Source organism: Homo sapiens, chromosome 10, assembly GCF_000001405.40.
Source record: "Homo sapiens chromosome 10, GRCh38.p14 Primary Assembly".
NCBI classification, from domain to species: Eukaryota; Metazoa; Chordata; class Mammalia; order Primates; family Hominidae; genus Homo; species Homo sapiens.
This window is the reverse complement of record NC_000010.11, coordinates 85,613,227-85,638,591: the sequence shown is the minus strand read 5'-3', so window position 1 is coordinate 85,638,591 and position 25,365 is coordinate 85,613,227. Positions and strand designations below refer to the sequence as shown.

Below are 25,365 nucleotides of genomic sequence, written 5' to 3'. Positions count from 1 at the left end.
TAATCAATTGACTACATGCCTTGATTGACAGTCAACTGGCCATGTATGTGTTGGTCTATTTCTGGACTCTCTATTCTGTTCCATTGATCCATATAACTATTCTTATGCCAATAAAAAAATCTTGATTATTGAAGTTTTAAAATAATTCCTTAAGTCAGGTATTGTAAGTCCTTCAACTTCGTTCTTCTTTTACAAGATTGGGCAATTTCAGATTCTTTACATTTCCACTTGAATTTTAGAATCATTTTGTCAATTTCTTCAAAAATGCCTGTTGAGATTTTGATCGTTATTACATTTAATATAAGGATCATTTCAGGGAAAACTTATATTTTTATAATACTGAATCTTCCAATCTATGAGCATGGTTTTTCTGTTCAAAAATACCAACTTTTGTCTTCACTGATTTTCACTGTTGTTTTTATATTTTATTGATTTCAACTTTTTTGTGCATAAAATATTTTCTTCTTATTTTACTTTGGTTATAATTTTATCTTACCTCTTCTAGCTTCTTAATGTTAAAACTTATATCATTAATTTTACACTTGTTTTCTTTCCTAATATAAGTATTAGAGCTATAAACTTCCCTCTAAACACTGTTTTAACCCCACCCTGTGAATTTTTATATGTTGTGTATTCATTATCACCTAGTTCAAAATATGAAGTCCCAGACTTAATCTTTTTGTCAAGGAATTAAGTTCTAGAGGACAGCAAATGGCTGCAATTGATTTAATGTGGGAAAGAATATGGATGCCCAGAGCGGGGATACATTCTGCTTAGTGAAGTTAGAAGAAGCTATCCAAGATAGTCATGTTAGGAACACATATTTTATAATCTATAAGCCTCAACTCCTTTTCTGATTTGAAGATAAAAGTGTGAGAATGTGAGAGCAAAATGGCAAGCAAGAAATAAAAGGTACAGGAAGATAAAGGAAATTAGAGAGGCAGGAAAAAGCAGTTGAACTCCATGTGAACAAAACCCACATTTATTTCTACTAAATGTGTAGCTTTAGCAGTAGTTTATTTCTACTAAATGTGTAGCTTCCTTGTAGGAGAATGAGGGCAGTGGTCTTTTCACTGCTTCACAGTTGCTGTCTTCAATATGCCTCCCATGGTCTTGGGCTTCAGCCTCCTGAGTTCTATAGGCCTTGACCAATTAAAATGTGCCTAAACCTTTTTCACATGCTTTGACTCTGCAGTCCACCCAACGGCAGATCCACTCAAATCTCCCCCAGTCCATATCAACTTTTAAAATAATAAGCAGTTTTGAGAGGAAATCTTTAGGTTATACATTTATGATTTACATGCAATAAGTTCCCATTAAGAAAAGTTTAAAATATTTCTTTTTTCACCACCTAAATGCAGTTCCAAGAATCCTCTTGTATATTTCTGTCTAGTCTTTTTAGAATTTCTACAAACGTTTTATATAATTATAATGCTATAAAAATATTTCATCCTGCATTTTTCTGACAATGTGGTAAAACTTTATAAAAAAGATTTTTCTGACAATGTGGTAAAACTTTATAAAAATTAGTGACTAGTATTTTATCAAATAGATGTAAATTGATGTAAAAATTTTATTTAAACATTCCCTTCTTGATTGCCATTTGGGTCATTTCCAGTTATTTACAGTTATAAATAACATTGTAATGAACATCTTTATGCCTAATGTTTTTCAGTTACTACATTTATTTCTGTAGGTCTAATTCTCAAAAGTAGAATTATGGTGCCAAAAAGGATATAAACATTTAAAGCCCTTGATGAAGTATTACTGAATATCACCAAAAGCAGGGCTTTGAATGAATTACATTATTAGTTTTGGGATCAAAAGAATATTTATTTGTCAGTGGATTTTTTTTCATCAACTCCTTGTGATTTATCTTAAGATTTAAAAAATAAATTAGTATTTTTCTACTTTCTCATATCTTTCATTGTGATTTTTTGTTCCTTTTTCTGTTTATATTTGTACATAGGTATTTGTGTATGCATGTATTTTTGCTTTATTTTGCTTTATAATTCTGGGGACTACAGTGGAACAGCAATCATTTTCTTTTCAATCTTTTTTTCCTGAGCGTTGCCATTATAAACTGTGGCTAATTGGGGAAATTGAATAAGATCATGAATGTTTAGCGGTCTGTGGTTGTTCAATAATCAGAAGTGATGGACATGTAAATTTCTTCCTTAAATATAGATTTCTGCAGTGATTTACTCTGTGAAGTATTTTGTCTTTTATCCATTTATTCATTCATTTATTCATCAACTCATTTACTAGTGCTGAACTCAGTTAATATGTAAAAGTGGACATGACACTTTTCCTCCTAAAACTGAGTTAGAAGAGAAGACAAAAACCGACTTGGGACAGTATATTATTTCAAAAGTAAAAGATTTTTGTATCCTTTCTTATTTTACCCGGGGTCTTCCTTTCCTCCACTGGGGCCTTATGTCAATGTTTGGACAATCAGGAGATTAATTTAATCACAACAGCTACCATGAGAGAAACCTGGCATGGATCAGGTGTGAGGTTAAGTTTCTCCTATGCATCAAGTCTATTGTGCTTCAGCACAACCAGTTCATTAATGAGGAAACTGAAGTTCCAAGAGGGCAAGGGACTTGCTGACAATCAAGCTTGAGTCAGTATTGAACTCTTCTCACTCCAGCGCCCTTGTCGTTACCCCGTGACAGTCTGCAGAAATGGAAGGAACTCGTGATCAGAATGAAACTTCAGCTCCCCCACACTGCTTGGAGCACCAGTCTCTTTCTCTGCCTGCCAGGCTGGTTCCTGGTTATCCCTCAGGCCATAACAGAAGCATTAACGTCTCCTGAGCCTTCCCTGGGCTTTCCCTTTCCCCTTACCACACAGTGCATCCCAGAGTGCAGCCTCACCAGATGCCATCCAACCCTCAGTGCCCTGCTCTGTCACAGCCCTGCTAGACTTGGGGCTTCTCTAGAGTGAGGCCTGCCTTTTATTTATTTGTCCTCAGGGCTGGCTGAGGGCAGAGGTAGGCATGGATAAAGCACTTACTCAATGTCTCTTAACCTTTCAAAAATCAAAGTAAATGTTCAATGAGTAAGAAATGAGAGTGGATAGAAATAGCATTCATATGCATCTTTCTTAAACATGAGTGAGCAGCAAAATTGCTGGGGTCCACTTGCAGTAAGGGCAAGGAGGGGGCAGGGGAGGGCAGGGGGTCCTCTGCCCTGGGCCTGGGTGGCAGAGTCAGTCTTACTAGAGCCAGTTGCCATACAATTGACTGAGTTGGCCCCTTTATAACTCCTTGCTGTTTAATTCTGTTTGGTGATGATTGGTTTGGGATAATACAGTCCAAATGTCAAGGAAAGCCCCCACTGTGCCTCCCTTATTAAATTATTCTGCTTTGGGTTTTGAGCATTGCCAAGCAAATCTCATTATGAATTCTTCAATTACTTTCTTTTACGATTTTTATAATTTGATAGAGTAAGCTCTGGAATCAAACCAATATCCATGCCACCATGCTAACCTTGATTATTTTCAAACTTCTTATTAGAGGAAGTGGGAGGATGTTGACTTCTCTTAAATCTGATTTTTTTTTTTTTTTTTTTTTTTTTTTTTTTTTTTTTCAGATTTCCTCTGCCCTGTAATTTGCTTTGTACCCAGGTCTGATACGCTTCACCTTAGTGCTGGCTGTAAATGTGGGCTGATTCCATTCTGTTTGTTCCATTGAATATTATTGCTTTGGGTTTTATGACTTAAGTTTTTACATTTTGAACTGAATTGTTTTGTTATTTGATTACATTAAAATCAAGAAGAAATTTCTGATGAAAATAATTTTGATTTATCATGTCAGCCAGATTGTTGGCAATTTTTGTTTAGCTTATTTTTATTTCCACTTTATTGGCATAATGTTTATTCAGGAGCAAGAGGGAAGAGAAAATGAAGAAAATAACATTCACAAAGAAATTAATATGTGTGGCATTGTGCTTATGCACTTTATCTTCACCATTGAGGACCTTTTGTGGCGTGTTTCCATTTTGCAAATAAGGAATGCAAAACTCAAAAAACTAAATTATTTTCCTGAAAATTAGCTGTCTCTTTCTACCATTTTTGTGTCTTTTTGTTATTACTACTGTTATTATCATTGTCATCATTATCTTGTCATCATCAATAAGATAAAACATATTTGAGTAGAAGTAGTGGTTTCCACCGGGATGGGGTGTTCCAATAAACAGCTGATAGGTCTCCTCACTCTACAACATGAGGATATTAAGATTTGCTCTGGGTCCTATATTTTGAAATTGTAGTCTGTGTGTGTGTGTGTGTGTGTGTGAGAGAGAGAGAGAGAGAGAGAGAGAGAGAGAGAGAGAGAGAGGTGCCCCATCAGGGCTGTGCAGGAATTCCCCCACTACCCCTATAAAGCCCCTCTACTGGTAAACTTTTTTTTTTTTTTTCAGATGGAGTTTCGCTCTTGTTGCCCAGGCTACCATGCAATGTGCAATCTTGGCTCACCGCCACCTCCGCCTCCTGGGTTCAAGCAATTCTCCTGCCTCAGCCTCCCAAGTAGCTGGGATTATAGGCATGCACCACCACGCCTGGCTAATTTTGTGTTTTTAGTAGAGACAGGGTTTCTCCATGTTAGTCAGGCTGATCTTGAACTCCTGACCTCAGGTGATCCGCCCACCTCAGCCTCCCAAAGTGCTGGGATTACAGATGTGAGCCACCTCGCCCAGCCCTCTACCAGTAAACTTTTATGGTTCTTTTGACTTTACAAAGCTGTAAATTCCAACAGGTAGAGCCCACAGCTTGTTCAGCTGTGAGGAGTGAGAGTCTATTTGTATCTTTTTGGTCAGAATGTGACCTCTTTTGTAGCTCCTCAAAGTGCTCCAAGGCTGTTGTGTGAGCTCTGACATTTTAGCAAAGGCTATAAAGGAATACTTAGCCACAAATGGAGTTAGAGGATGAGGCTCTTCCACATAAGCCCCTGGAGACAGTCTCCCAGCACATGAAGGGATGTTCGTTAATATTAATTGGGATAGCATGCAATTTTGCTTCTCTATCCTCACAGCACAGTTCGTGTTGCCAGTTCCCAGCAACCCTTTATGGCTAAAGAGACTTTAAGAGGAAGCTGCTTCAGACAGCAAAGCCACCTTGGCCTCAGGGTACAGTTTCATGGGTCTCAAACTTTGTTTCAGTAAAGTCAAACGCTCCGTTAAAGGCAACATAGCATAGTGAATGGAGAATGTGATTTGGGTCTGAAAGAACTGGATTTGGCTCTCGTATCCATCTTTTACCAGCTGTGAGATCTTGGGAAAATTAATGGGCTCCTGAATAATAAGAATAATAATACCAAGTCTTATCAGAGTTATTGTAAAGATTAGAAGTGATGTGAAAGAGCCAGCCATGGTGGCTCACACCTGTAATCTCAGCACTTTGGGAGGCTGAGGCGGGAGGATCACTTGAGGTCAGGAGTTCAAGACCAGCCTGGACAACATGGTGAAACCTCATCTCTACTAAAAATGCAAAAATTAATACACCATGGAATACTCTACAGCCATAAAAAGGAACAAGATTATGTCCTTTTCAGGGACACGGAGGAAGCTGGAAGCCATTATCTTCAGCAAACTAACACAGGAACAGAAAACCAAACACTGCATGTTCTCACTCATAAGTGGGAGCTGAACAATGAGAACACATGGACACAGGGAAGGGAACAACACACACTGGGGCCTATTGGGGGATGGAGGGATGGCATCAGAATAAATAGTTAATGCATGTGAGGCTTAATACCTAGGTAATGGGTTGATAGGTGTGGCAAACCACCATGGCACACGTTTACCTATGTAACAAACCTGCACATCTTGCACATGTATCCCACACCTTCAAATAAAATAATTTTTAAAAAATACCAAAATTAGCCCGGTGTGGTGGCACATGTCTGTAGTCCCAGCTACTCGGGAGGCTGAGGCACGAGAACCACTTGTTCCTGGGAGGTGGAGGTTGCAGTGAGCCTGGGCAGCAGAGCAAGACTCCATCTCAAAACAACAAAAAAACCTTAAAAAGTATATGTTAACAGTGTAGTTCTCAAAGGGTGGGCCTTGTTCCAACACCGCCAGCATCATGTGGGAACTTGTTAGAAATGTACCTTCTTGGACTCTACTCCAGATCTAAGAATTAGAAGCTGGGCAACAGGGAGGTTAGCAGTCTGTGTTTTAAAATGCCCTCCAGGTGATCCTTATGGCTTCTGAATTTGAGAACATTTGCTTGAACAAATGGTGCTTATTGTCATGATTGTTGTTTTGTTAGTATTTTATTTATTCTTGAATTTTAGAAACTGAGGCCAAGGGTGCCCATTGATGCTGTCTGTGAAGCCTCTGGAAGAGACTTCAGGGTGGAAAAGGGTGGAGGGCAGACCTGGAGGGGCAAACAGGATGTGCCCCATTCAGCAGCTCAGTCAAGCCAAGACCAAGGTTCCTGGCTTCCCAGATTCTACTTGCCATCCTTTCATCTTTTATTCAATCACTTTACACATATTTACTTAGCACCAACTCTATGCCAGACATCATGCTAGGGGAGCAAACAGGACATGCATGGTCAAGCTTACATTCTTGTGTGTGTGTGTGTGTGTGTGTGTGTGTGCATATGTGTTTACATGGCACACAGGGAGTATCTGCACAGTCCTCTTCCTGTGCTTTATGGGCTATTTGACCACATGTATGCTTGTCATCTGTGTAACCTGAATTCATGTATTCTTAAGTTGTTTCAATTTCCTGGGATGGCATTCTTCATTCTGTATTCTTTTCCCTTTGTAATCTATTTTGTATCCAGGCACACCAATTTGCTCTTTCTTTTAGGTCATTCTTAATTTTTCCCATGGAATAACTCAGATTAGATTATTGTTTATCATGGTCTTTGGACAATTTAAAATTTTGACAAATCATTGAAAATCAATGTGTCCCTTTGCCCTACTGACAAGGTTGTTTATAGTCCCTAGTTTTGTTGATAGTGTACAATTGCAGATTTTGAGAAAAGAGGCATTGATTTTTCCAACTTAGGACTTTTCTTTTTCCTTTATACCAAACCAGCTTCTTTTTTTCTTGAAAATATAAGAAACCTTATTTTACTAGGACAATTTTTTGCTCAATAAACAAAACTATTCCTCCCCAAAGTGCTGGAGGCCCCAAAAGGGAATGCAGCCATAATGTCTCCACAGGGTCAGATGCTGGAGGCAGATGTCATTAACAAAAGCTTGACAAGAATCTGGCAGCAGAAGAGGGGAAAAAACCAGCATGAGGACAGGATGGTCAGGGGGCTCAATGTGGCTGTTTGGGGCTACTGATATTAAACTTTTGATGTGACAGAGAGGAAGGCAATTTGCAGTCAAGGAGATCTGAGGAGGAACTGAAGCTCTGCCAATAGCAAATTCTGTGGCCTTGGTTCTTTTTGAGCCTCAATTTCCCTGGGTGGAAAATGTACACAATTTGGACTATGGAAGTTTATCCTGAACTTTCTAAGAAATTCAGGGAACAGAATTGATGGTAAGGGAAGAGAATAGCTGGTAAAGCATAAAGTAGAGTTCTTTTCAGGAAGATATTCAGTGTGACTTTCCTTTAAAATTTGTTTTTAGTAGCCTTGGTCTCTCAACTCTATGGTTTCCCTTCTTCCATTCAGTACTCCAATTCAACACCCTAGAGCTTTAATACTATCTCCCTTTATAAACCTGTGTTCAAGAGAAGATCAGAAATTATTTGACCCAGAGGTCTAAGTCATTACATCTTGACTTTAGCATGCATCAGGATCACCTGTAAAGGTTATTAAAACATAGCATTTTGGACCTCGTTCCAAGAGTCTCTTATTTGGTGGGTCTTGGGATGGGACCTGATAATTTACATTTCTTATAAGTTCTTCAGTGAGCTGATGCTGCTTGGCCAGAAAACACACTTTGAGAATCACTAGTCTATAGCATAGACTTTGAGAATACCAGATCTGGAGAAGACTTGAAGGACCACCTGTGCCCCTCTTCCATTTTTATAAATTGATATGAAATGAATAATTGGGCCAAGACTGTGACCCAGCCTAGTCTAACAGTTTTTCTAATTTACTAGGCTGATGGTTGAGGACAATTTCACGTGCTATTTATTCCAAGGCACTCGCGTTGTTATCAGGATCCAAACTTTAAGCTGTAAGGTAATGCTGGTAATGATTGTCATGACCATGAGAATAACGTGTTGTTGTCTGCGTTTCTTCAATGCACCAGGCACTTTCCACACTGTCTTTTCCTGTGACAAGTGTGTGAGGTGGGCATGCTATTCCTGTCTTCTAGGTGAGGGCATTCAGCTCAGAGGGCTTAGATAGCTGGCCAAGGATGCTAAAGAAAGACTTGGTCCACCTGTCTCCAAACCCTTGTTCTTGCCAACATACCATGCCGTGCTGTCTGTGAAGTGGGATTGAAGACTCTATAAAGGAAGTTAAAAAATCAAAGGGCAGATAACATAAGAGAAAAGGCATTTCTGCTATTGTTGCTGTTGTTGAGTTGTTTGAGTGTCTTACAAATTCTGGCTATCTGTCCCTCCATTAAAAAGTGGGCAAAGGACATGAGTAGACATTTTTCAAACAAAGACATACAAATGGCCAACAAGCATATGAAAAAAATGCACAACATCACTAGTCATCAGAGAAATGCTAATTAGACCGACAGTGAGATATCACTTACACCAGTCAGAATGGCTATTATTAAAATGACAAAAAATAACAGATGTTAGTGAGGATGCAGAGAAAAGGGAATGCTTCTACAATGCTGGTGGGAGTGTAAATTACTACAACTTCTATGGAAAACAGTATGTAGATTTCCCAAAAAACTAAACATAGAACTACCCAGCAATCTCACTACTGGGTATCTATTCAAAGAAAATTATATCAAAAAGATAACTGTAGTTATATGTTTATAGCAGCTCTATTCACAATAGCAAAGATATGAAATCAATCTGTTGATTGGATAAAGAAAATGTGATATATATGTATATTTATGCAAAGGAATATTATTCAGCCATTAACAAAAATAAAATAATGTCTTTTGCAGTATCGTGGATGGAACTGGAGGTCACTCTCTTAAGTGAAATAATTCAGAAACAGAAAATCAAATACCACATGTTCTCACTTTTAAGTGGGAGCTAAATAATGTGTACACCTGGACATCGAGTGTGGAATAATAGACATTAGAGACTTGGAAAGGTGGGAGGGTGGGATGGGGGTAAGGGATGAGAAATTACATGAAGGGTACAATATAGGCTGTTTGGGTGATGGTTACAATAAAATCCCAGACTTCACTACTATGCAATACATCCATGCAACAAAACTGCACTTGTACCCTTTAAATTCGTACAAATTTTCTAACAAAGAAAAGGAACTCATGGAAAAAAAGGGATTGGTGGCCTTTTTGAGATGCAAAATTACTCTCATTCTCTCTATCCACTGCTGTCCTCCTCACTATTGACTATGTTACTCTAGGACACAGGAATACCAGGATGAGACAGGCAATCATTTGCAGAAATCCTGGGGCCTGGCCATCAGGAGCCATGTCCTACTGTTGTAGCCTGGGAACACCTCCATCTTCTCGGTTGTCCTGCCCAGGTCATGGGCCGCCTCTCTGGGACTTTCATGACAAAGCTAAGGGCTGCCCTCATGTCTGTGCTCTGCATGCCACACAAGCCAGAGGCCTTCCCACTGCTAGATGGCCTTGCTCCCCTTTGGTTGTGTCAACTCATTGTCCACTCCCATTCTATTCACTCTGGGCTGCAGCCAGGAGCCAAATTAACTTTGCACCCTGTGGACCCTCAGGAAAGCAGCTTTTTCAGTATTTGTGGAGAGTTCAGCTGCAATCTCTTGTCCCCCGACTGAGCCTGTCCTGGTTTGCCTCCTTTTGCTGGTCCAGAGTCTGATCTGGATAAAAAGTCTTTACCTTTCATTCTTTGGGTAGCAGGTTTCCTGACAACCTCCTAGCTGGGCCCACCAATGGTCTGCCTCACAGCCTCACATCATTTTGATTCTGCATCACCTTTCTCCATTGTTCTCTCTTTAGAGATGGGCTCTTTATCTCCAGCTGAAGGTCCACTTTTTCTGAACCCTTCATGGTTCTCCAGCAGCTTGGTACCTGAGTCCTCTTCTCTGCTGCCTCCCTGGGGGCAATGGTGCTCACGATAATACACATACTCATACACTCACACATAAACACACTCATCAACCTACACACATTTATACAATTCTCACATACATATACACACACCTTCACACACACACATTCCCTCACACTTACACATGTACACACTCACATAATTCTCACATCCTCACATACATTCACACACATACACAGTCATACCTGCACATATATTATTCCAACATGCACACACTCACACACCCATACACACACACATTCCCATGCACACATACACATAAATACATACCTATAGACACTAACATGTATTATTGAATGCACACACACTCACCCACCCATACATTCTCACGTGCATCCACATGGACACATCTATACACACACATCTCCCTCACACTTACACATATGCACATACACAATTCTCATGCACACACACACACGCTCACACTCTTCTGCATGCACACACTCATGCACACACACTGCTTACTCACACAGAGTGTGTTGCTGACTTGGTGAAGGTGGGGGAGTGACTGGCAGGAGGGGAGTAGGTGGAGGAAAAATGCTTCAATCACAGCTGACAGATGGATCTCCTGACCATCTGGGAACTGAAGGAAGGAGCAGGAAACGGAACTCGCGTTGAGCCCTCATGCTGTACCAGGTACAGTGTTTTGCCTTCGGGAATTTCCCACTCCCAACCTTCCTTTTAGGAAACAATTCTTAGCCCCTGAGACAGTAGGGTCACTGGAGAGCTGGGCTGTGACAATGGGCACCCTGCTTTTTCTGCTGCACTGTGCAGAAGGAAGGAGGCCGAGCCTCGATATCCGTAATCACAAAAGGTGAGGCTTGCTGAGCTGCAGGAAACATAGGCAACACAGAGATGTTCAAAACCAACAAAAGCCACCCATGATGGCACCTCCCAAAGATGACCATGGCTTGTATTTGGCACTTATTTTTGATTCTTCACAAACATAAAGTTTTACATAATAATTTAAGAGGCGGTCACAATGTCAATACTCTAGTGTAACAGGTTCTTTTTCCACTAAACAATATAAGATAGATTATTATTTATTTAGCGTTTACCATATGTCAAGCAAGATCCTGAGCACATCACACATATTGAGGAATTTAATCCTCATCAGGACTCTGTGAAGTAGGGACCAGTTTATCCAGTGGAACTGAGACTCAGAGATGTTAAACAACTTGTCTGCACAGGCAGCAAGCGTGGAGCTAGCATTTAAACTCATACAGTTGGACTCAGTAACCCAGGCTGGTTCATAGCTCAGGGGTGCCTCTTTTTTTTCCCATGGAAATTTCCCTTAACAATCAATGCTCTTTTAAAGCACCATATTAATGGTAACATAATGTTCCACCATCTAATACTATCATTCACCTATCTGATTCCCAATTATTGAGCATTTAGGTTGCTTCCAACTTCTGACTAGTTTAAACAGTGTAGCCCTGAAAAAATCTCTATGCAAACATTTTTTGAAAATTGAATAATTCCTTAGGATAAATCCCACGGGTAGAATCGCTGCATGTACACATTTTAAAAACATTCAATTCTCCCCACCAAATTGCCATTCCAGAAATATCACGCCAGCCACACTCCCACCAGCCGATTGCAAAATTGTCTTTTTCTCTGCAGATGGTCTGGGTTTTTACTGTTGAATCTTACAATTTGGCATGGTACATACATAATACAGGTAACACTGTAGCCAGGGTTCAGGCTGCATGTGGTAATGTGTTGCCATTGAATGAACGTGACTATAGGAACTAAGACTTGGGATGCTTGAAAAGGCTGAACTCTGCTTCGTTAGGATAAATGGTGGCTGCAAGCAGAGGCAAAATGCACTCTGCATGGATGGTGAATGTACATGAGAATGTGTCAGGTTTCCAAAGAGTCCCTGATGTACAGAGAAGGGGCAGACCCCATGTCCTCCCTTCTTCCAGAGTTTCAGTGACTCCATGAAACACTTTTGTTTCTAAAGCTAGGGAAAGACAGGCATTGCCATTTGTGTGTGGTCTGTCACCAGCAATGTCCCCTAGGAAGTGGTCCAAGAGCAAAGACAGTAGGTGAATTTTCCCCAGTCCATACTTCATAAGTCTAACCAGGGCAGAGGAGACAGCACAGACTTCTTTGGAGCCAGATGTAACTCAGGTTGACATGGCTCCACTGTTCATAATTCAGGCTTGTTTGGGACACGTCATTTAATTTTTTGGAGCCTCAGTCTTTTTGTCTGTAAATGGGGTGGAATCTTCTGCCCTCGAGAAGTATTATATGGATAAAAAAGGGATCAGGTTTCTGAAGGCCTTGGTACCCAGTGGGTGCCCCACACCTACCCTGCACCTGGCACTACAGGCACCTGTCTTCCTTCTGTGCTTCCTTTCAGATAGCATTTCTGACTGATGTTTGCAGCACCAGCATTCTCATTTGGGGGGAGCAGTGTGGTTGCTTGTCCCTTTCCAAAGCAGTTAGGATGGAATGGAATAGCGTAATGAGGTTCTTGCCTTAAAGGCTGATGTCTCTGAAAGGTTGTGCTCCAAGTGAGTTCCAAAAGGGGTGGAATCAGTGGAGCAACAAAAGGCAATGCCATCTCATTTTACTGCCAGTGTGAAGTCATGGAACACAAGCAAGTCATCCAATCAGCTCACTTGTGGCTTCTTTTATAGAGCCCAACCTTCCTCCAGCAAATAGAGGCCAATCATATTCTGCTAAATGTTAGGGAGGATGCTGTAAGTGTTAGAGCCAGACTCCCTCACCATGTCAATTTTTTTCCTTTTGCAACAACCCAGGGAGCAGGTAGACTGAGAAGGGAATCTGCTTGCTAAGGTGTTTGCTGGGGGACAAGGCTGGGTGGTCTCTCTAGCTGCTGTTGTCCTGGCATCCCAGGGATGGATGCTCACATGCCTTTGACTTTTTCTCATGCCAAGATATTCTTCCTCCTTTCACTAAAGTTCCTGCATCTATTCTTTTTTTGTCTGGACCATGTTTGTTTGTTTACTTTTCTTTTAGGAAAAGCGGAGAATGAAATGAAGTAAAATGTTTAGAAGTAGGCCAAAAATGTCAAGGAGATTTTCCCAAGTGCTTGGGTATTATCAGGGAGCCAGTGTCCTGGAGAGGTCTGAGAGCTCTCCCAGGCCTTTGTGTCCTGTTGATGGGCCAGGGCACTGCTCCAGTGGAGCCAGGGGCACACAGGGTATGCAGATTGGATTAGTTGTCTGTGTCATGCATGATAGAACAAACTGTGAAACAAGGTTAAATAAACACAACACTTTCACCCACTTGTTTAGAAAATTATCACTTATCCCACTCTATTAGGTGATGATCAATCTTTTAGAATATTACATTTCACATGTACACACAACAGTAATAATACCGTATCTATCAATAATAATCTGTTCATCCTATTATTTCTGCCACTTTCCTTAAGTATTCATATATATGTCTATATATAAATATATAGTGTTTTTGTAAAGTCTTTATATTACTATCTGTTACATAAAATGCTATCACATTTATGAATCATAATTTATTGTTATTTCCCTAATAGTAAATATTTAAACCTTATGTTTACTTTAGAGTCAACTCTTAATTTAGAATATTTGTCATGCATTTTAGATATATTTAGGTTACTTTTTCGGTGAAATTCCCAACTTGCAAAGGTGAAAGACATGAGCAGCTTTAAACATTTGTGTTCTGTATTATTGTATTACTCTCCAAAGGATTGCATCATTTTGTGGTGCCGGTAGCCATGAAGGATTACGCACATTTTTTTCACAGTTTCTTTACCACTAGATATTATCAATTTTTTAAGAAACCGCTAGAAATGTAATTTGGCCACTTACACATATTAGTTTTCAGACCTCTACTTTCTTAGATGATCTGCAAATACGTTTCATAGCTCCTGGAAGAAACGTGGGGGCTGGAGTCCCAGGACTCCGTATCTAGTCCTGAAGGGCTCTGTGGGGTCAAAAGGGCCTGGAGTGTTGGGTGTCTATGCCCACCTAGGCTCTGCAGACAGCTCAAGGCTTGGAGTAAGCTTGGCTGTATCCACAGCCTTGTCTCCAGCCTAAGTTTCCACCAGCCTTATGCTAAGGCATTGATCCATGGTAAGTCAGCGATTGGAAATTCAGAATGCATTTCATATTATAAATGGACTAGCCAGGCCAGATAAAGGTAATTTAACCCATTGAAAGGTGAAATACAGTGTTTGTTTTTGTTTTATTTTAATAGCAGAACTCAAATCAGTGGCATCCCTTTTATCTTTTAGGCATTATGAGATAAATGCCAATAATCTATTTGCAAACAGCTCACCACCTATCATGCCTGTTCTCAGACATTATCCTCCTCAACTCCCCACAGCCACCTGTAAGTAGGGACAAGACAGTACTGGGAGATACAGGAAGAAGGAGTTGGTTTGAATAGGAAGTGGCAAAAAATAGCAGATCTAAATATCTGTTGTGACACTTGGTCAAGGGACTCTGGGACACCTGCAAGGAGATGGCTGGGTTCATCCTCCTCCCTCTACAAGCACCAGACCACAGCACAAGGTTGAAAGGAAGCTAGATTCCTGCTGATGCTCTGTCCTTTCCAGAGCCTGAAAAACATCCTCAACAGAAAAGAGTTAATATAAATAGGAAATGACAAATGCTTCCTAATGTGAAAGATCTCTGAAATGGAAATGAAGGGATGGAGCAAGGCAAGAAAGGGGTAGACATGCTTTCCTGATAGAACTAGAGGCTAGATAAGAGGTTGCACCCACAGAGGAGGGGTCTGAACCTAGGAGTGGGATTGGAGGAAATGCTGAGACTCAAGGAAGGAGGAGGGTGAACTTGCAACAGGAGGGGCAGGGAAGAGAGGAGTTGCTTGGCTGTCCTGGAGGCAGATGCTTGATATATTTGGTGTCCTCCCCCCAGCCCCCCGTAGTGGGGAAGCCAGACCTGTGGATAAGTAGCACAGAATAAGGGGGTGAATTCATCATTATTTGGGGCCACGTGGAAAACTGATTCTGACCCTACAAGGAGGAAGCAAAGCTTAGAGTTTTTGTGGGGCAGGATGGAGCTCATTCTGCAAGGAAACAAGAAGAGGGTCTGTATAAAGACAACAGGGCCATGATGGGTGGGATATTTTAACTTCTTAGAGCTGGTGTCTGCAATGTTCCTGACAGTATGGTCAGACCTAAGAAGCCTTATGTCTCAGACAGGCTCTGTGACACACTGGAAACTGGGGAGATGTCTGCAAGTCCAGAAAGTTCTGGAAATAAATGAATTTGGGGACCCAAAGAAAGCCTCAGCACTGCCTTTTACTCAGCATGGAGTTGAAAGAGAAAGGCTGAGGAAGCTCTAGGATGCCAAGGAAGTGAAGACGACATTTAGGAATGGAGGGTATTTCCTAAGGACAGAGCTAGAATCTGGCCTGTCCTGCCACTATTGGAGCTTCTGATTTGGCCCTGTCAGGGTCCTGTCCATAAAGTGTTCTTCCCCATGCACAGGGAGCTCTAGGCATGTACTTGTGCTGGATATTGTTACCAGTTCTTGGAGGCACTGAAGTCAAGGCCATTTCCTGTGTTCACCTTAAGCAGGGCTCAGTCAAGTTCTAAGTAGAAATATCAAATGGGTAAGATTTACCACAGTCCATCCTCCCCTCTTTCTCATCTCCACACTGTTATACTCCCCTACATTTCCATAGAATTGCAATCCCCTGGCATTAGATTTTCTGCCGTCTCCAAAGGTGAGCCCCTCGATCTGAGACATAAGCCCATGCCATGATGAGAAAGCTCATCCTAGAGCCTACCTCCAGCTCCCATCACAAAATGTGGGATAGCACCCTCTCCAGGTGCTCCTGCTTTGGCATTTTCAGACAGATTCAGGATCCAGCCACATGCTTCCTCAAGCAGACACAAGAAATATATTGGCAGCCTGGCATAGTGGCGTGAACCTGTAGTCCCAGCAACTCAAGATGCTGAAGAAGGACTATTGCTTGAGCCCAGGAGTTCAAGTTCAGCCTGGGCAACATAGCAAGACTGTCTATATTTTTTTTAAAAAAAAGAAAAAATAAATATAATGATGAACTTAGTCCCTGTTTACAAATAGGCAAATGGGGAGATGGAGTGTTCAGTAGGTCCAGAAGGCAGCTCCTACTGTCTCCTCCGGACTTCCTTCCTGGTTAGCAGGGATTTGAGGCTGAGCCATTGCCAGCATCCCTTCTGGATGTTCCCTCTTTCTCAGCTTAGGCCAGCAGGACTATAAATGTGGGTGCTTTCATGCAGCTGTGCTCACCTGTCCCTGAGCCCAAACTGAGTCACAAATGCCCAAATGGCTTGAAGGAAGCCAAGTGCCCCATTAGAGTGGCCACATCAGGCTTTCCTTGGAGTCCCTTTCCATTCTCTCTAAGCCAGCATATTTTGTTTTCATTCTTGGAGCATCACTTGAAATGTAGAAACAAACCTTTATCTTAATTTTTCCCTCAACGTGACATACCCTTTTGAAATCATAGAAATAACAATGTCTGATTGTCATGTTGAATTGCAAGCATGGATGTGAAATGCTCCAAAGTCTGACTAAAGCCAAATATTAGGTCATAAGTCAACATTTTGCTGAGAAACTTGGTTACTAAGAGGTTGAAAATGTCTATCTTTTTGTGAGAAAACTTGTTTGCCAGCAGGAAAAATTTATAGGATTGTTATCTTCCTACAAGGAAGGAGAGAGATGTGTGTAATTTTGCAACCTGGGTCAAAGTCCTTTAGGACTTCTGAAATTGGATTGGCTGAGGACTGAAGCCTTGGTGTAATATTTGGATTGCTCCTCGAGGTGAAAGTCAATGAGTGGCACAGGTGTGTGTCATTTCTTACAAGGTCGTTGGGCAAAATTGTCTGAATGTCTGGGAACAGGCTCTTCCCACTGCAGGAGGTCACACTCTGCCCACAAATCCTTCTAATGGAGAACTTCTGACAAGGAAATAAGCTGTCTTGGGCCATGAGCACTTGGGGTCTTGAAAGAAATAAAATCTTGACTAACTTCATCTAAGTAGCTACGACACTCTTTGGAAAGTCTCAGTGGACATGAAGACTCAACTGAACAAAGGCAGGAGCCAGGGACAATGTCCTCAACAATGCCAAGAAGCCTGTAGCTTGCTAGCATGACCTATTATTGTCTGTGATGTTTCAGTGCTGTCACTAAGCCCATAATGAGGCCCCCATCATCTGGTGCAAGCCATGGTAAAAAGGAAAGAAGCGGCAAAGGGGTGTCTGTGTGCTCACTATAGCATTAAAGGCAGGCACTTTGCTGCATTAAGAACATTCTACTTTGTTTTAAGATGGCCAGGTGGCAGTGTCAGGTTTGCATCTCCTTCCAGAAAGTAAAGCAGCTTGCATTCCCTCCGAGTGCCCAAACTCCAGGCAAAGTTAGAATTGTTGTTCAGGATAGAAGAGAACCTCTGCTGTGGATGAGTGCGACAGAGTAGGGCTTTAGCTGTCGCTGCAGGCAAGTTCCTGATGGAAGAATCTGCCACCACTGCACTGATGTGGAGATAGTGACACCAGAAACCTGCACCTGTGTGTGCATATATATGTTTATGTGTGTGTACAAACATATATGCATGTGAGTGTGTGCATGCATATGTGCACACATATTTATGGGTGCATATATGTGTGCTTATTACACATGTATGTGCGTGTGCACAGGTGTGTTTGTGTGCAGGCATGTGTGTACAGGCATGTGTGTACATGTGTAGGGGTGTGTGCAGGCATGTGCATACCTTCATATGTGGGCAGTAAAAGACAAGTGGCAGAAGCCTGGCGTGGCACCATAACAGTCAAGCCCTGTCCCTAATGGATTTTTCCTCATGCACAGGGGGCTCTAGACATGTGCTTGTGCTTGATATTAAGTCACCATTACTCCGCAGCACTGAATTCAGGGCTATTTTCCACATTCACCCTAAGCAGAGCTCAGACAAGTTCTAAGTAGAAATATCAGTGGGTAAGATATGCCACAGTTCTATTCTCCCCTATTCCTCATCCCCAAATATTATTCTCCCCAACATTTCTGATCTCAGAATCTCAGTCACCTGGCACTAGATTTTCTGCACTTTCCATGGCTGAGCCCTCTAATCTGAGACATAGGCCCATAGCACTGTGACCAGGAAGCTCGTCTTAGAGCCCACCTCTAGCTCCTCTGCCCTTCCCCTCTCCATGAGATGTTTTGTGGCTGGCCTGCGCACCTTTTATGTCTAGTCAAAGTGAGTGGCCTCAACCAATGCTGGCATTTGTAGGCCAGAAAACAGTAGCAGAGTTGCTGTGCTGTCTGGTGGGTAGGAAGACCATTGAGGATGGGTCCCTCAAATCCCACCATCAAGATGGCTCACCAATCAAAGCTGACACAGCTGGCCAGGACTGCCTGACTTCATGGTAATTTTGATCTTTCAGGCAAAGAAGGGGAACTACGCCTTCCTGTGGGATGTGGCCGTGGTGGAATACGCAGCCCTGACGGATGACGACTGCTCGGTGACTGTCATCGGCAACAGCATCAGCAGCAAGGGTTACGGGATTGCCCTGCAGCATGGCAGCCCCTACAGGGACCTCTTCTCCCAGAGGTAGGCTTGGGCAGCAAGGTAACTACCGCTGCCTCAGGACTCTAGTGGTCAAGGGTAGGAGAATAACCTCTTAGAAGATAAGAGCCAATGCAAACATCTTTGTTCGTCATATTTTCCCAAGCACATACTATGTCCCACTGCTTCCTCCTCCCCTACCCTCAGACCCTGTGGAAGTATATGGTCCCTGCCAGGAAGGCTCAGAGTCTCTGTGGGATCTCTGATAGGAGCAGGTAATGCCAGCCTAGGGCATATTAGCACATGGCAAGGACGTCTTCAGGATGCTAGGGTAGAGGCAGGGAGAAAACGGCATCTCACCAGACCCAGGATATCTGGGAGAACTTCCCAGAGGAGGGGACACCCCTGAAGCTGGAAGAATGAGGAGGAGTTAGCCAGAAAAATGAATAATTAGCAGGATCTGATAAGGGCCTACTAATCACTTTTAAAGAGAAATGTACCTGTAATGTGGCAGTAGTCAATGTGGAGACTTTAAAAAAGTAGAGTCAGAGAAGCAGAATGTCTCCATATTTATTTGCACGTGGCTGTATGGGGCCTCTGATTGTAGGGCAGAACTTTCCTGGTCCAAGGAGATGCTGTCTGCTGGGGCAGGGAAGGGATGTGGCCTTAGCCAGGAAGGGTGGAAGTGGGGCATGGGTAGTTCAGTGGCCTTTGTCCAGTAGTCAGCCTGCAAACAGGGGCTCCTGTCGCCAAGGTGTCTAAGCCTTGGGCCATCTTCTTGCACATATCTGTGAAGGGCATTTTGCTGGGTGAAGGGATGAATCTGCAGAGCCTAGTGCAGAAGCCCTGGGGCAGGCTCTGCCAGAGTCCACCCAAATCCAAAATGAGGCAGAAGCATCTGAATGGAAAGGCTGGCATCGTGCCAGGCTCAGGGGCAACACTCATTGACTGATTAATGCATGAATTTCAGTACTAAGGAACTTCTATTTGGAGACGTGAGAGTCCTCATAAACCATTTCTTTAACATCCTGCAGTTCAGAGGGCAACTAGGATATCTGGGTTGCTGAGCCAGCTGCTGGCAGAGCTGGGAGTAGAATCCAGGTCTCTTGAGCCCTAGTGCTATGCCCATGTGGCTGCTGGATCTCCAAGCACCACGACCTCCCTTCTCTCACACTCTAGATGTCCAGATTGTGCCCTTCTGCTCATGAGTACCTGGACCTCAGCCCCACCAAGGGAAGGCTGAGGAGGAGGGCCTGCAACCAGTCCATTCAGTGGCTTCTTTGCAAAACTAAGGAAAAGAGTAGGGCTAATTAAGGTAAATGAGGCTTTTGGGTTTTCCCTTAAATTTAATCAAGTATACATTCTTTTCCTCCCTCTGCTCTCTGGAGCAGAGAGAGATGACAAGAGGGAAGGAGGAGTAGTGATTTATCAATTGCTCAGATTAAATGCATGAAGAAAGAATGGCTTCTCTCCAGGATTTATAACACGTTGGTGTTCTTGAGGTTCGCACCAGTTGGTTTTCCGAAATGGGAGGCTCAGGATGATTCCACAGACCATCAACCTCTGAGCATCTCTCTAGAACAGATGGTAAGAGAGCCCATGGGGCCAACACAGCAGCAGCACCAAGACTGCTCATGTACCCCAAGGCAGCGCTCATGGAAGCACAGGGGCCCCAGCGAGGAAAGGTTAGAGTCCCCGTGTGCTCACACTGCTCAGATGGCTCCTGAGAGTCTGCTGAAGTGAACACTGACACACTGGAGAGAAGAGGCAGCAGACATTAGTCCAGGAACCCGGGTCTTGGCTGGACTGCTGAATGGAGTCAGAGCAGAGGGGGCTCCCATTAGGTCAGAGCAGAACCTGAGAATACTCAACCTGGAGAAGGTGGAGATGAGTGGGGAGGGGTGTGGCTGCCCACCTCCAATATCGTAAGCCTTGCTGGGGGCAGAAGGAGTGAGATGTCCTTTGTGTGGCTTCAGAGGACCAGGGCCAGGGCCAACATGGGGTGTGTGTTTCCAGAGACCAGGCTTTCTGAAACAGGCCTGCCCACTACCTGTCCACTCACTGACCGTGAGGTCCCTGTGTGAAACCTCCCAACAGAGACCCCATGGGTTGCTCTCCTGACTCCAATAGTCACCATAATCAAATGTGGCTAGTCCAGTTTCCATGTCATTTTGGCAAGTAGTGATTGATTACTATTTGCTTTCATCAGAAGGCATGTGCTCTGTGATTATAAGGAAATGTCACCAGTGGCCTGTGCTGGCTTCCCACAGTTTCCTCATCTTCCTGTAGGGTACAGTTCCTCCTGGGCTGGAATTATCCCTTGAGTGGGGACACTCAGACCTCAGGTTGCCAACTTACTGATGCCAGTGGTTCTTTAAAAGGTTCTGTTGGGCTGGGTGCAGTGGCTCCCAGCACTTTGGGAGGCTGAGGCGGGCAGATCACGTGAGGCCAGGAGTTCAAGACCAGCCAGACCAACATAGCAAAACCCTGTCTCTACTAAAAATGCAAAAAATTAGGTGGATGTGGTGGCACACATTTGTAATCCCAGCTACTTGGGAGGCTGAGGCATGAAAATTGCTTGAACCCAGGAGGTGGAGATTGCAGTGAGCTGAGATCATGTCACTGCACTCTAGCCTGTGTGACAAAACGTGACCCTGTTCTCAAAAAAAATAAAAGGGGGGGGGGGCTTTGTTGTATGGTGCATGCAGAACTGTGAGCTGCCTCTAGCTTCAGAGGAATGAAGGGATAGGTCCTGAGAGCAATGCCTGATGCCATTTGCAGAAAACAGGTTCTAGTATAAATGACAGGTCCCAGCCTTATGTGGAACTGCTATAACTGTCTTCCCCTTCATCCTGGGAACTAAACTATTTCCTTCAATAAAGATATGCTCCTTTGCTTTGGCAGAGGACAGGATGTAGATGTATGTGTGTGTGTGGTAGGGCTTATGTGCTATAAACAGGCTTGCAGACCACAGCATGCAGTTGGGGCATTCAATAAATGTTTAGCAACTTAATAGCCATTTATTGAGCACCTACTGTGTAGCAGGCTCCACAGCTATTGAATGAAAAAAAGCACCTGCAATTATATCTGTCTGGAAAATAGAACAACTGGCTTCAGGAAGTGGCTATTATCCCTCTGGCTTCCTCGTAAGCGAGAGTATGGATTATTATGGTGTGCATTAGTTTAGCCTCATTTTCAAAGTCATTTTGTACCCGTGACTTGTTTTAGCTTTCCTCTGTCCCTTCCATACTTAAATTTCCTTTGTTTGTTTAGGTTTTTTGTTTTATGTTATGCTTTCGTATAAATTGCCTTACTATCATTCTGGGATAAGATTGGGTATAAAAAATGCATACAATTATAGGGAGCAGGAAGAAGAGAAGGTCAGCAAAATTAAGCAACTTGCCTGACATTGCACAGGATCTGCCTAATGAGCGGAGGAGTGGGGATCTGACCCCACAACCACCATCTGGCCAGAGCCTCACCATCCCCTGGGCCAGAAGCTGGCCCCGGAAGAACAGCCTGCTGTTCTGGAAAGAGCATGGCCTCCTGGGTCAGAATGACCCAGCTCTGATGAGCAGCATCACCACTTTCTAATTACAACAGTGGGCAAGTCATCTAGATTCTGAGCTTTAGGTCTTTGAGATGTAAAATAGACATAATAAGAACCACTTTGCAGGCTGTTATGAGGATTCAAACAGTGTAATATGATCAGCTCCTACTGTGTTCTCTATAAAAGGTCGCTCATGTCAGTGCTGGCAGGATAAGGCTACTGGTCAATGTGGCCATCAGGCTGACAACTACTAACCAGCTTTTATGGAGCTCTGATTACTGGCTGGATCTCGAGCTAACGGTCTGTATGTGTTCCCTCTTCTCATTTTGTCGCAATATCCTGTGAGGTAGGTACATTTATTATAACCTCAGGCTTTAGTGATGAGAGAGCTAAATTTGAGAGGCTCCAAGCCTGGATTTGAATGGATATCCATGAACACGAAGCTCTACTGTCTATCCATAGCTAGCTAGTTTTTCAACTGCTGACATCCTCAAAGGCCCTGAGGTCCTGCCTATCTGTCCCTGAGGTTCCTGCAACTGCCAGGAGGCTCAGCCTCCTCACCCCTACCAGCAGAGACTTATTAAGGCCAGTGAACAGGCAGACATGTAGCCACGGAGTTGGCCCGACATGATCCATATGAGGTGGTGCAACACTGCGGCTGTCCAGTTCACCATGTGGTGTGCCATGAGAGAGGTCTGTAGTGTTCTGGGGCAATCTAAGCATGACCCCAAACCATATAAATGCACATGTATCTTAACAACTAAGTCACTGAATGCACAGCCACATTCTGTGTCTTACATGCTGATCAGTGCCCTAAGCACTTAAAGGACATTATATCAATATCTAACCACAGCCATCTTAGTCAAGTTTTCATTACTCATTAGTACATTCACACATTTATTGACACAACAGACAGCCTTAGTGGTACCAGCCACTGTGCTTGCTCAGGGAAAACAGAGTAACCCACAGCTCCTGTCCTGAAGGGTCTGCTCATCTAAGTGGCGGTCAACAGTTTATGTTGCAAAGATGAGAACACTGATCTTTAGTAGGAGCAAGTCCCTGGTCCAGGTGAGGTCTGGTGCCTCCAAAGCCAATCTTTGCACTGAGCCAGGCCATTCCCAGCCATCAGGAGGCCATGCTGTACTGGACCCATGATGCTGACACATCTTGGGACCCCCTCAGGGTTGTGGCTCTTGTCTCCACCAGACACAAGCCCATGTGTGGGAATTGAGCAAGACCTCATGTTTGTGGTCACAGCTGACCTGGAATGCAGGTCCAGGGTAGAGATCACACAACTGTCCAGTGGGCAGTGAATTTTTCCTGGCTATAAACAACTGTTGCTCTCTAACGACACATACCCAGAGAACTCAGAGGGACCTCTACTGATGATATCAGTCGAAAATATCACCATGGATCAGGCTTAAAGAGCTCCACTCCCCAATGAAAGCTTGGGTGTTTGGGGTCTGGGTACTACCAGCTACCACTGGCTCTCTGTTAAGACTTCTGGGTTACAGACAAAATACCACAACCAAAGAAAACCACAATGGGGAGTATAGAAGCAGCATGGGTTGTCCCACCATTGCACACATGATGAAATCGAAACTGCCTCTCATGCCCCCTCAGAGCCTGTGTTCTGGGCTCTGCCTTCTTCCCTGTCCTCACCTAATGCCTGCTCCCATATCACCCAATAGTCTCACTGGCCATTTTTCTGCTTCTTAAATGTGCTAAGTGCTACCCCAGACATGACTTTCACATGGGGTTTTAGTCTTAGGAAGTTTCTTCCTCCCCCAAGTTGAAAGCCAACCCTGGCAGCCTCATAATGACTTTTGGCAAGACATTTCACCTCTCTGTGCCTTGATTTCCTTCTCTGTAAAATGGGAAAATAGGAATAACCATCTCAAAGGACTGGCATGCAAATGAGGATTCAACACTATTTGCCAAGCATGGAGGATACTCCTTGGCACTAGAACATGCTAGACCCATGTGAGCTGTTTTATAATTAGTCATCCTTCAAGCTTCCCCTTACATGTTAGCTCCTTAGTGAGGGTTTCTCTAGTCCTCCAGTGGACAGCACTCACCATGTGGTGTTTCCTGGAACCTCTACTTTGATTCATTTTTTTAAATCACAGCTCTGCCTGCACTTTGATTGAGCTAATTTTTTTAGGGTCAGTGATTGTATCTCTAGACCATAAGCTTAGTAGTGCTGAACATCATACTAGGCAAAGCACAGAAGATCCTCAAATCAAATGACTGTAAGAATAATTTGGTGAATCCCAGTGGGAGAGACTTAGGATATAGTAATGAAAGCTCAAAAGAAAGCATTTTCATGATCAGGAATATCCTAAATCCACAACCTAAATGTTTGCCTCTTTCATGTCTATTTCCTAGTTTTATCTTGAGCTCTTGCCACAGAATCCATGTAATGGGCCTTATGTGATTTGCTGTTAGACTTTATCCTTGGGCAGTGGAATAGGGTGGGAGAGGGCAGAGGGGCTGTTGGGGAGGGGAGTGACAAAACCTAATGTGCGTTTTGGGAATAACACTTTACCTGCAGTGTGGAGAGTAGACTGGGAAGAGAAGAGCTAAGGCAGAAAGCTGCTAGGATGGCTCAATGTTGTCTGTGGTGGGGCCAGCATGGTGGGGCAGGGGCCAGGGCCCCGGTGGCTGAGTTGATGACGTCAGTGGCTATAGCTCACCTTGATTGTGTCTTACAGGATCCTGGAGCTGCAGGACACAGGGGACCTGGATGTGCTGAAGCAGAAGTGGTGGCCGCACATGGGCCGCTGTGACCTCACCAGCCATGCCAGCGCCCAGGCCGACGGCAAATCCCTCAAGCTGCACAGCTTCGCCGGGGTCTTCTGCATCCTGGCCATTGGCCTGCTCCTGGCCTGCCTGGTGGCTGCCCTGGAGTTGTGGTGGAACAGCAACCGGTGCCACCAGGAGACCCCCAAGGAGGTCAGCACCCTGGGGCCTGCCCTCCCTTTCACAGCCTAGAGGCAGGAGTGTCACACTGGGCCATTGGGAGGGCAGGTTGTTTCTAGTTAGTATTTACCTGAGTCATCTTGTCTGGAGGCAGCAGTGTTTTATATTGGGGGATTTTGTTATTGTTTTATTTTGTTTTTAAAACTAGAGAAG

The 25,365-nt window shown here is 43.4% G+C and overlaps 1 protein-coding gene across 3 annotated transcripts in view; it reads left to right on the top strand.

Annotated features, from left to right (window-relative positions):
• The window catches only part of GRID1 (glutamate ionotropic receptor delta type subunit 1), a 767,244-nt gene that overhangs the window by 728,204 nt on the left and 13,675 nt on the right, over positions 1-25,365 (top strand). For all 3 annotated transcript variants that reach the window (NM_017551.3, XM_047425122.1, XM_047425123.1), the window contains 2 exons: positions 18,559-18,725; positions 24,945-25,185. In NM_017551.3, the coding sequence (NP_060021.1) occupies positions 18,559-18,725; positions 24,945-25,185 (408 nt within the window). The remainder of the gene's footprint in view (positions 1-18,558; positions 18,726-24,944; positions 25,186-25,365) is intronic.